The 13056-nt window shown below is 33.5% G+C and overlaps 1 protein-coding gene across 5 annotated transcripts in view; it reads left to right on the forward strand.

Annotated features, from left to right (window-relative positions):
* PDE3A (phosphodiesterase 3A) overlaps positions 1–13056 on the forward strand; it is a 320047-nt gene that overhangs the window by 233265 nt on the left and 73726 nt on the right. For all 5 annotated transcript variants that reach the window (NM_001378408.1, NM_000921.5, NM_001378407.1 and 2 more), the window contains one exon: positions 11642–11899. In NM_001378408.1, coding sequence (NP_001365337.1) covers positions 11642–11899 — 258 coding nt within the window. The remainder of the gene's footprint in view (positions 1–11641; positions 11900–13056) is intronic.

Consider the following 13056-nt stretch of genomic DNA (forward strand, 5'->3'; position numbering starts at 1 on the left):
TGCCTGTTAATGAGGCAGTAGCACTTGTTTTAAAAGAGATGGTCAGATAATTCTTTTAAAAGGCAGAATACTGCCATCTGTTGTTCACTGAAGTTTTTAGCCTAAGCAAACAGAAGCCTTAAGTTCAAATTTAATAGCAATTCTTGATATTTAACAGACAAAGACCAGCCCACATTTATCAGCTTTCTGAGTTCGTACTTATTTCAGAGATTCTTAGTTATTCCTATCATTTTTTAAAACTCTTTCTCATATCAGAGAAGTGCTCACATCCAGTTAAGTTCTCTTTGCTTCCTGTTTCTTCCAACAACAGAAATAATAATGTTTTTTATTTACAAAGTAATTTGTACTTAACCAAGCCTTCCCACATTTGTGTGAGCAGTCACATGAGTAGCTCATTGCCTGAATTTATTATATCTTTGCCAGCTACATCATCTTTTCTAATTAAGAGAAAGAGAGAAAACCAGCGTGCAACTTAAAGACAGCTAAGGTTATCTTCTGAAAGATGCGGGTTCTTACTAGAGTAAGTGATGAATAAGTATGTTCCATTTCCTAAATAATAAAACACTATTGTAAAATTGTTAACTTTGAGTTGTTACGTGAGTTCGCTAGTGTCTGGAAAGTAGTTAGAAAATATAAACAAGACAGAATTTTTCACCAATTTTTGACTTGTTTGCTGATAGCTTGCAGGGACTTGTATAAGGACAGAGGCCATGTATTCCATCTCATTTGGTGACTTGCAGTGCTCTTTGAACATCAAAAGAGAAGGATGTTAAGAATTCTGGTAACTAATGAAGTTTGTTATGTTTCACATCTCACATGGAACCTGCCCACAGACATGTTGGGAAGCAGTTTGATGAAGGGCCCTATAGGTTTTCCTCCTACTGTACATACATATTATCTTAAGGAAAAAATCCAAATGTAAACTCATATTCCCTGCCAGAAAATTAAAATACGCAAACATCTGCTTCCTTAGGATGGCCTTTAGCCAAGGTTCAGCCTACAATGAGTTACTGCAAAATTTTCACATGATTTCATTTTTTAAAAATTTCCCAACCAACTTCAAGTCTAAAATTATAAATGGGTCCTATGAAAGTATAAACACATATGCAATTTTGCTGTCTCTGAGGTCAGAACCAGTAATGCACCAAAGATCATTGTATCAAATCCAGCTCATCTTCTAAATTAATGTAGTACATTAAAGACCAAGATACCATTTCCTAGTATCACGGACAGCCTCCCAGAGAAAGAGTTGGAGGGATGGAGTGGCACGTAGTGCTACAGAGATGTAGGAGGAGACAGCTTCCAAAAACTCATCACACATCTTTTCCCAGCATTGAGGACCAAAGTTGGATGAGAAAAGCCCCAGTGACTATTTCCTTTTTATGTGTCATCTCTTACACTGTTTATTCGTCTCTTATCCCAACTCCCTTTCCACCCTAAGAATATTCCTCCCATGCTGTGTTTGCCTCCCAGGGTGCCTCCCAGGATGACTAAATAGAAAGAAAAAAATACTTCCAACAATGGAGCTATGATGCCTGCTTTTAGAATTCTTTTCACATCCTGTGTTATAAATCATTCCAATGCAATCAACCATATTAACTGAAACCAGGACTTCTGTACAATCACTTTTTAAGAACTTAAAATTAAAATCAGGACTATTATGAGTATTTTGCAGTAGGGAGTACAATATATCTGACTGCATTTACCTAGAGTAAGAAGTGGAAATAGGTTTTTGTTTTTATTGTTTTATTTATTTATTTAATTTATTTATTTATTTTGGTAGAGAAATCATATCTCTGTGCTATCTTCATTTATAAAGGAACTACTGGCCCAGTTCATGTAGGGGACAAACACCCACGTGCACAACATACATTTCTTTGCACACACAATCTTTCTCAACAACAATGTTTCACCAACAATAATGATAATGTTGGTGATGTATAATACTTATCAAACATATATTTTGGACCACGCACTCTCACAAGTCTTTATGTTTATGATCTCATTTAATCATCAATTACACTATACAGTCGATATTACTATTAATCCCTTTTTAGAGAGGAGACAAGAGCTAAAGAAATAAAATGAGCCAGGCATGGTGGCTCACGCCTGTAATCACAGCACTTTGGGAGGCTGAGGCAGGCGGATCACAAAGTCAGGAGTTCGAGACCAGCCTGGCCAACATGGGGAAACCCTGTCTCTACCAAAAATACAAAAATTAGCTGGGCATGGTGGCGCATGCCTGGGGTCCTAGCTATTCGGGAGGCTGAGGCAGGAGAATTGCTTGAAACCAGGAGGCGGAGGTGGCAGTGAGCTGAGATCGTGCCACTGCACTCCAGCCTGGGCCATAGAGCGAGACTCCATCTCAAGAAAGAAGAAAATAAAAAAGGAAAGGAGAGGAGAGAAGAGGGGAGGGGAGGAGAGGGGAGGGGAGGGAGATAAAATGAATTTACTTTTTAAATAAAATAAAAATCTTAGCAGATCTGAAATTTGAACAGAAGCAGTCTAACTTCGGTTCTTGCCTCCTTAAAGACCCCATGTATTACCTCATATAATAAATATTTGATATTGATGAATGAAAAAAACTTTCTCTTATATCCCAACGTTTTAAAACTCTGCTTTCCAACTTCCCACATACACAACCTTACAAATTATATATATGACAAAAATATGTTTTTCTACCTTTTTGCTTCCCAAATGCTAATTCATAAACCAGGCTTAGCTTTCTAGCTCTTGTTCCAGGAATGTTAATGAATAGCTTTAACACCGCAATTACATTATGTCTCATTTTAAGGGAAAGAAAATATTGAGTTTAAAATACTATGGAGCTCTCTTAACAGACATAATTAGGACAAATAGCTGGTCTGGGAATTTTAAAAAGTTTTTAAAGTAGAGAATCATAAAAATATGATATAAATTTTCTATAATTCTAGTAATATATTTTAACTTAATACATAGAGTATGCAGGTTTTTGCACATCTTTGATGAAGAGCCAAGAATGTTTCTCTCAAGTATGTGTCCACTGAAGTGACTGGAGTTTCAGGTTGCCGTTCTTACTTACACCATACCCATATTTCATATTTCATTGTACATGCTTGCCAGTTTCCGTTTCTTTATAGTGGAAACAACTTAGGAACTTGGAAGCATTCTGAGTTGAAAAGCCTTTAGGTGTGTTGTGATTTTCTTTTTGAATCTTTATAGTTGTATCTCCCCTACTTAAATCAAGGGAAATACATTCTTAGGCTCTCACCCTTATAAAATCTATTTATGAACTCTGTGTAAAGCTACCTGACTTCGTTTTCAAGGGAACAATTCCATTTTTCTGCAGGTGTCATTTCTTTGTAGATATTTTGTTAGTCTATGTAATTTACAGTGACAAATATAACAGGCCTAAAGAGATTTGGGAAGAAAGGAAACTGACACTAGGCAAATGCGTAACTTACCTATTGGGAGAAGTATATGGAAATTCCACCAAATAGCCTATTCCTTGTGATCTACTCAGTGTACACTAGGCAATTTACCATAAGAAGGAAACAGCATCAGTGACTCAATAACAATTTATAAGGTAGAGCTTGTGAAAGATTAGCAATTAATACAATAAGGACTTTTCTAAGTCTACATAATAATTTTAAAATCTTTTTTTAAATGTAAAATGCTTAAAGATGCCAAGATGTAATTTTAAAATCTTTTTCTTTTTTCTTATTTGATGGGGGTGTGTATGTGTGTGTGTGTAAATGTAGAGAAATGAATTACTTGCCCAATTGGAAGGGACCTTCAAAAGATCCCGCCCAGTTCTCTGATTTCAGAGGAAAAGAGCCTGATTGCTCTGTTGGATACAGTATTGCCTATAAGGAAACCTGTAGGTTTGGTTTTGGAAGTCATCATAAAACTTAAGATATTTTTAAGTGGCCTAATTTGAAGTATATAGCATTTCTACTAGGTTATCTAGATAATTTCTCAATTCTAATGTTTCAGCATTTGTAACCTATCTTCAAGTTTCATGTAGACTTACGAAGAGAGGCTTTTGGTGCTGCTTCTAATTCTTTTCCTCCAGTTAGAATAAATTAATTTCCAAAGCAAGTGACACGCCAGAATGTTCACTGAGTCAGAAGACTGGAGAATTATTACATTTTCTGCCTGTCAGCCTATTTAATTAAGTTATCAATTTAATCTGTGATTTAAAATATGTAGAAAGCAGAGTCATAACTTGACTATATTGGTGCTACCTCAAAGCAAATTTATCAAGAATTGGATGCATTATCTTCATCTACACCCCAGGTGCTAGATAATCTCCTTAATCATTTTAAAGAATAAATTTATGTTGACCCTACCATTTCTCCAGTCTTTTTCTGATTTTTCCTTTGGGCACCTTTACTTTCTTTAAAAAAAATGATGTGTATCTGCTTTTTTTTGTTTGTTTTCATTTACTCTTTTCACATAATTATTTCCTAAGCATTCTTAGATTTTATCTTTTAGAAATTCTCCAGTTCTCAATATTTTGGCATAAACTCAAACACAGCACCACAGCAAATAATCTGATATGTTACTTAATGATACATGATTTTATTTTACATTCTGTTCGTAACTTGGTTACATAGACTTGTTAGAATTTTTCATAGTTTGCAACTTACTTAGAAAATTTTAGAAACTTAGATGCCTTTTATAGCACGCAAATACCTTTTGACCTCCACACATATTCGAAGATTTCCCTTTTATCATATCAGTACTGCAATGTCAAAGTTTTTGCCCACTAGTAATAAAAATTAAAACAAATTGGCCGGGTGCGGTGGCTCACGCTTATAATCCCAGGACTTTGGGAGGCTCAGGTGGGCGGGTCACCTGAGGTTGGGAGTTTGAGACCAGCCTAACCAACATGGAGAAACCCTGTCTCTACTAAAAATACAAAATTAGTTGGGCATGGTAGCATATGCCTGTAATCCCAGCTACTTGGGAGGCTGAGACAGGAGAATCACTTGAACCTGGGAGGTGGAGGTTGCAGTGAGCTGAGATCACGCCATTGCACTCCAGCCTGGGAGACAAGCTCCATCTCAAAAAAAAAAAAAAAAAAATTAAAACAAATTTTCTGTAATTGATTGATAGGCACACGTCTAAAAGTATGTATAATATTGATTATACTTGTTGTATTTTAAACTTCTTATCTATAGCATCAGACTTTCTGGGCCTTTGGTTTATGATGAGTGAAATAACTTAGAACCACTCTAGATTGTAATATACCAAGGCCATTAACAATTGTGGTAGTCTAAAGCCAGGATTAGGTAGGACATCCTGGAAATGGGAAAGTAGACTGGATGAAGATAAAAGAGGAAAAGGAAGTTGTTTAAAAACTGAGTACTCAGTCGGGCGCGGTGGCTAACACCTTTAATTTCAACACTTTGGGAGGCCAAGGTGGGAGGATTGCTTGAACCCAGGAGTTCAAGACCAGCCTGGGCAAAATAGCAAAACCCCATCTGTACCAAAAATACAAAAAAATTAGGCATGGTGGTGTGAGTCTCTAGTATCAGCTGCTAGGGAGGCTGAGGTTGGAGGATTACTTGAGCCCAGGAGGCTGAGGTTGCAGTGAGCTGAGATCGTGCCAGTGCACTTCAGCCTGGGTGACAGAGTGAGACTCCGTCTCAAAAAAAAAAAAAAAGAAAAAAGAAAAAAAAACACATTGGAAAATGGTGAATTTACCAAAAGTATCAGTTATTTTTGGCTTGATATATAAAACCGCACTTTCCTCCACTGTTTATCGTACTGAAATGCCACATTTTCTATTTAAAGGTGGCAATCCAAATTTGGTTGCCATTTAAATAGTGTCTAGGGAAATACACTTGCATTTTCTGAAATGTTAAATATAAATATTTCTATTACAAGGAGAGTCTGTGAAGTAGAATGTTTTATATTGCTTGGTAAGTTTTTTTTTTTAAAGGAAAAGATTTGTTTGATCATCTGCACCATAAGAAGACTCAACTGCGATTTTGTGCTTAGTGTGGCTCGTACTGCACTGAAAGATGGTTTCAGATTGTTAGTTTTAAGACTTTTCTTTAAACTGGCTTTTATATAAACTTAACATTTAGTATTTATTATCACTATCTAAGATTTCACCAGTTAAATAAAACATTTCTGAGTACCATTGGTATACCTCAATATTTAATTATATTATTTTTTTCAAAGTTAATAGGCATGGAAAAAACTTCTGTGTGAATCACACAATTTTTTCTCACTTTGTACATGATTTAAAAAACACTACCAAAAACCAAAACCCCTCTCCCTTAAAATTCCTTAATAGGGACATCCTAGACATACCCATCCTTTGTAGCTTACCTGCTATTTATTGAAACAGCAGCCAGTCCATCTTTCTGTTTTTCACCATTTCATGTGTGGTTAGCCTTGGCAGGTTTGCTGCAAACAAATCTGATTGTTGGTTTTAAATTGCATGCCTCATTGAAGCCTTTAGTTATTTGAGCAAAAAAGTGGTAATAACTTCTTACGTGTGATGTGTCTGTTGACTGTAACATAATTTTATTCTAGAATCATGAAAACAACAAAGTGAGGACCTGACTTAATGATACTAAGGATATTTTTTTTTTCCAATAGTAGAAGTGTTCACTTCAGTTTCTTAGCTAATTTCAATAAGGATAATTTGTCTCTCGGCTTGAATGTTGCTTTTGTTTTCACTTAAAGACCTTTGCTTTTGCAAAAGCTACAGCATAATAGTAGCATCAAAATACATAATGTGCTTATTTTCTGAATTCTTATGTAACTGTGACATTGACTTATAAAGATGAGTTTTCAGTTTCTATTTTAAAAAGTACTTTTTAAATGTTTACTATTTTTTCTATATATACAAGAAATACATCTATTACTTTAAAGAAAAAATAAAATGTATTATAAAAAGACACACAATTTGATAATTATAAAAAAACTTGTCTTCTTCCCAATAATTTATTTAAAACTTGTAATTCTCATGAACATGTTCTACTTTTTCTTCAGATTTGTAGATTTTGTATACTGAGAACATTTTAAGAGAACTTTGTAGTTATTACTAGAGAATAAACTTAATTTCATTGTCAAAAACATTTAAAATTTTGTCTTGAAAACAAAGTTTGACTTAAAATTTCAAATTTGTATGGAAACAGTCCAGTTAATTGTTAGTTTATTAGAACAACATGGCTAAAAATAAACATTACTATTTCAGAGGATCACACTGGATGAGATTTTCAGAAGCATAATGATTAGAGATGCACTTTAAAATACTTATTTCTAAAAGGGAATGTTAGCTAAGTGGCATTTTTACAAACATTAAAAAATTGAATAATGATATTATCTCTATTTGCAGATGACATGATCTTTATATGTAGAAAACCACAACAATTCTACACGCACAAAAATTGTTAGAGCTAACAAATGAATTCAGTAAAGTTACAGGATTGAAAATCAACAGACAAAAATCAATAACATTTTTTATATACAAATAAGTCCCTAGCTGAAAAAGAATTAAAAAACACTCCCATTTACAATAGCATAAAAAATACTTAGGGATAAATTTAACCAAGGAGGTAAAAGATTTGTACATTGAAAATTATAAAACACTGATGAAAAGAATTGAACACAGAAATATATAGAAAAATATTCCATTACTCAATCAGAAGTATTGTTAAAATATTTATACTACCCAAAGAAATATAGAAATTTAATGCAATAACTATCAACATCGCAATGGTGTCTTCACAGAAATAGAAAAATGCAATCCTAAAATTTGTATGAAACCACAAAAAACCCCAAATAGCCAAAGCAGTACTGAGGGGAAAACGGTTGAAGGCATTACACTTTCTGATTTACAACTATATTACAAATCTATAGTAATCAAAATAGCATGCTACTGGCATAACAACAGAAACCTACACCAATGGAACAGGATAGAGAGCCCAGAAGTAAATTCAAGCATACATGTTCAAATAATTTTACACAAGGGTGCTAGGAGGACACAGGTGGAAAGGGGAGTCTCTTTGATAAAAGGTGCTGAGAAAGCTGGATTTCTACATGCAAAAGAATGAAATCGTATGTTTATCTTATACCACACACAAAAATCAACTCAAAATACGTAAAGACTGAAATGTAACACCTGAAACCGTGAAACTTATAGAAGAGAACATGGGGGAAAGCTCTCGGACATTGACCTTGGCAATGAATTCTTGGATAACACACCAAAATCTCAGGCCAAAAGAGAAAAAATAAGTAAATGGGGCCACATCAAACTAAATAGCTTCTGCACAGGAAGGGAAACAATCAACAAAATGAAAAGGCAACTGACAGACTGGGAAAAAAAATATTGGCAAAGCATGTATCTGATAAGGAATTAATATCCAAACTTTATAAATAACTCTTATAACACAATAGGGGAAAAATAACCTGATTAAAAAGTGGGCAAAGGACATGAACAGACATTTCTCCAAAGAAGACATGAAAGTGGCCAACATATATGTATGGAAAAGTGTTTAACATCACTAAGCATCAGGAAATGGAAATTAAAACCACTATAAGATATCACTTCACTCCTGTTAGGATGGCTATTATTAAAAAGACAAGATATAACAAATGTTGGCAAGGGTGTAGAGAAAAGGGAACCCTAGAACACTGCTGTTAGAAATGTAGATTGGTACAGCCATTATAGAAAATAGTATAACGGTTCTTAAGAAAATTGAAAATAGAACTATATGATCCAAATAAGATAAAATCACCACCTCATAAAGATATCTGCACTCTCATGTTCATTGCATTATTCACAATAGCCAAGATATGTAAATACCATAAGCATCTGTCCATGAATGAATGGATGAAGAAAACATGGTATGTATATATGCACACACGTATATACATACAATGGAATAGCATTCACCCTTTAAAAAGGAAGGAGATCCTGTCATTTGCCATAACATAGATGGACCTGAAGAACATTATGCTGAGTAAAATAAGCCAGACACAGAAAAATATTGCATTATCTCACTTAAGTGTAGAATCTTAATTTTTAAAAAAGGTCGAATATTCAGAGATAGAGAATAAAACAGTCGTTACCCTGGGCAGAGTCAGGGGAAGGGTCAGGAAATGGGGAGATGTAGGACAAAAGATACAAAGTAGCAGATATATAGGATGTATAAGTCTAGGGTATCTAATGTACATGAGGATTACAGTTAACGAAATTGTATTGTATTACAGATTTTTGTTAAATAAGGAGATTTCAGCTGCTCTTGTCACAAAAATACTATGCAAGACGCTAGATAATGTTAACCTGTCTCACTATAGTAACCATTTGACTATCTGTACATATACACATAACATGTTGTAAGCCTCAAGTATACACAATACAAATTATTTTTAAAATAAGTAAATAAAATAAAATTCTACTTTTAGCTCAGAAAAATAAAATTAACCCTATAGATACAAATATGACATATGCATGACTATGTATCCTAAAATTATTAATATTACACTTAAATTTTCATATTGGTTCATAAGAGATATTTATGCCTGTGATCAGAGAACATGGGTACTAGTATTAAATTATGCATTAAGTAATTACAGATATATTTAAGCACATAAAATTAAGATTTTCTGTTTTTGTTTTTTTGTTTTTCACCGTACTGGTTCAACACTTGAGCTATGGAATGAAGCTATTTTTCTTTGCAGCCTGATATTTCCACTTTCCACCTGTCTGATTTTGGCAAGTTATTTGTGTCTAATGAAAGTGAAAGTAATAATAGTACTTACTAATACTTTGTAGACTTGTGGTTAATATATATCAACTTTACCATTATTATTATAGTTATTGTAATTCTAGCAGTAAAAGACATAACTTTTCTGTATGATAATTTTACAGAGTAATTTATTCATTACTTACAGGTATTGCAGGACTAGATATCTTTATGGATGTTAGGTGTCATGATATTTTTCTAATTACAAGAATAATATATATTCACTTTTTCTATAACATACTTTTCCAACCCACTGAACAATATTTTCTAGACAATAATTTATGAATCTACCCACATCTTTTAAACAAGGATAGACAACTTTATAATACAGATATAATGAAATTTAAAAAAAAAAATTTATCTACTTATATGTATCTCGGTTGTCGTTGCCAGAACACTGCTATACCCTTTGTGTTATTGTTTTTATATGTTTAGATATTTGTAGAAGTATTTCTTTCGACCAGATATGTATGTTGTTTTGCTGGATCATAGAATATATACATTTAAGCTACTAATTGATAGGCTTAGCAAAGTTTCCTGCCAAACATTTTGGATTGTTTTTCCTCACTACTCGTTTACCCAAACCATTACTAATGCTTGGTGTTATAAATCTTTTACTGTTTTGCCAATTTTGTAAATGAAAGTTGTTTTTATTATGTTGATTTGCAATTTAATTATAGTGGACATAAGTGGCTTTATATATATATATTGGTTATTTACATTTTGTTTGAATTGCCTATTCACTTCCTTTTTCAATTTTGTCCTTTAGTGATTTTTTAGAAGCTCTCTGTTTGGATATGTTTTATCTTCTCTGTGTGGCAAACATTTTCTCACAGACCATTTCCTCCTTTGCTTATGGTATATTTTCTTATGTAGAAGTTTTTATCTTCATTTAGTCAGATACATTAGGAATATCCTTGGCAGTCTATGAATTCATATTATTTTTAAAGGTTATAATTTCAAGATTATAAAATAGTCCCTCATATTTTCTTTTAATCGTACAACTTTATACTTCTGTTTTTTCTCTCTTTGGAGTTTATTTACTTACTTATATAAGTAACTATATATAAGTAATATAGTTACTTATATAAGTAACTATATATAAGTAATATAGTTACTTATATAAGTAACTATATATAAGTAATATAGTTACTTATATAAGTAATAAACTATATGTAAGTAATATAGTTACTTATATAAGTAAATATATATGGCCTCTGTGTTTTGTGCTCTTCGTTTCTGCTGTGAGGACAGAGTAATGACTCTGCTCTGATAGGCAGTTTGGCAGAATATGACAGATGTGCCACAGAATCCCAGAACTGAAATTTCTATTCCAACCAACAACAGGAAGAGAGACAGATTGTGAACTAGCACACAAATGGAGTTTTTTTGTGTCTATCTCGAATAACATTCATTGAATAACTACCATTAGCAAAAATATTCATTGAATAAACACCAGGTTCAAGTGTCACATTAAAATATTACTAAAAATAACATTTTATGGTATATTAATGTTACTTTTGGAGTGAAATTCCTAAAGAACATAGATGTAAAATGTTGAGCTCTTCATAAGGAGTGATATGAAGTTTTTCTTCCCCAGATCTCTGAAACTTTTTGCCTTTTAAAAACTAGTGTTCATCTTTTTAATTTCTTCAAATATGCTTGACCCTCCCCAAGTTCTAGCATTAAAAAATGGGCCACAAATGCAAAAAAGGGTGGCAGCTAGGGCACATTTTAGCAGAATTTGAAATAGGTGGTGTGAATTTTACTGTACTGAAATCCTAAAGAATCAGCCCAATTCATTTCTTAGTGAAAAAGTCCAAATTAATGCTTTGTGCCTTCAGATTCAGGCCTTTTCTTGCCTGATCTTGTCTTGGTTTGTGTCTCAGTCTTCAGGAACCAGTATTACTGTGGACATCGCCGTCATGGGCGAGGCCCACGGCCTCATTACCGACCTCCTGGCAGACCCTTCTCTTCCACCAAACGTGTGCACATCCTTGAGAGCCGTGAGCAACTTGCTCAGCACACAGCTCACCTTCCAGGCCATTCACAAGCCCAGAGTGAATCCCGTCACTTCGCTCAGTGAAAACTATACCTGTTCTGACTCTGAAGAGAGCTCTGAAAAAGACAAGCTTGCTATTCCAAAGGTAGGTAGTAATGACATACCCCTTAAAGGGTTAAACTATTTTTTTTAATTGTCTTCTAGGTCTCCTTCCTGTCACCTCAACTCCATCTGCAGATTCATATCAGTGACTCAGGCAAAATGTGTTGATCGTGGTGACAGAAGTAATAAATATTTAAACATAAAGACTTCTGTCCTTATACTTGATAGTTTTCTATACATAGAAAATTTATCTTTTTATGTTACCTCTTTTATTTAATCTTTCATGTTACTTGCAAAACGTTTTCTCTTCTATATGCCAGGCGCTTTTCTAAGGTGATAAGGATATTGCAACAACAACAACAAAACAAAGAAGGCAGAAATCCTTGCTCCTTTCTAGTGCAGATTCTGTTTAAAATTCATTGACTCCTAAAGCTAAAGGTTCTTTACTCTTTGATTCTCTTGAATGATATACTTCAAAATACCCTCCTGACTTTCCAATACACAGTTTTGAACCCAGAACAGTTTTAGTCAATTATAGATTATTTAAAGTAAAATATATCCTTAGTGATTTCTATAAATATATATTTTATATGTAAAAGGAAGAAATTACACAAACATTCTTTTTACATATATGGCATGAGTTTTATGAAAGTAAATTGTAGGAGGATCCTCACCCAGTTTAGATCTCAATATTAATTAAAAATAAGTCATATTAAAGACAAATCAGTGTCAGTGGTCTCTGGTATATTCAGCACAGTTATTTATTTAGTAAACAATCAGCTATCCCTTTGAGCTGGTGGTCAGTCAGTAACATCTGTGCTTCTGCTGTTGTGAGTCTCTTCTCTCAGGAATGTGATCTTCATAACTTTGTCAATAACATATTTACATAGTTTCCTTCCAATATGAAATTCCCTGATAAAGATATACCTAAGTATAATATGATAGTAAGGAAATGGAGAGAGAGATTAACTGGTTCCTTCAGGTCTCAAATTAGACCTGAGGTTAGTGACAGATTTAAGGCAAGAAATCTGGTATTTAAGAGTGTTTGAGTTTTCTCTTCCAACTGAATTACCTTCTAAGATGCACATTCAGATGTTTAAGAGACACTGGAAACTATTTAATATCAGAGCTATTCTTAAATCCCAAGGTGACATATAATTCACTTCTCAAAATTTTTTACCTTCTTTGGAAGAGCAGAAT

The sequence above is a fragment of the Homo sapiens genome, chromosome 12, assembly GCF_000001405.40.
Source record: "Homo sapiens chromosome 12, GRCh38.p14 Primary Assembly".
In the NCBI taxonomy this organism is placed as follows: Eukaryota; Metazoa; Chordata; class Mammalia; order Primates; family Hominidae; genus Homo; species Homo sapiens.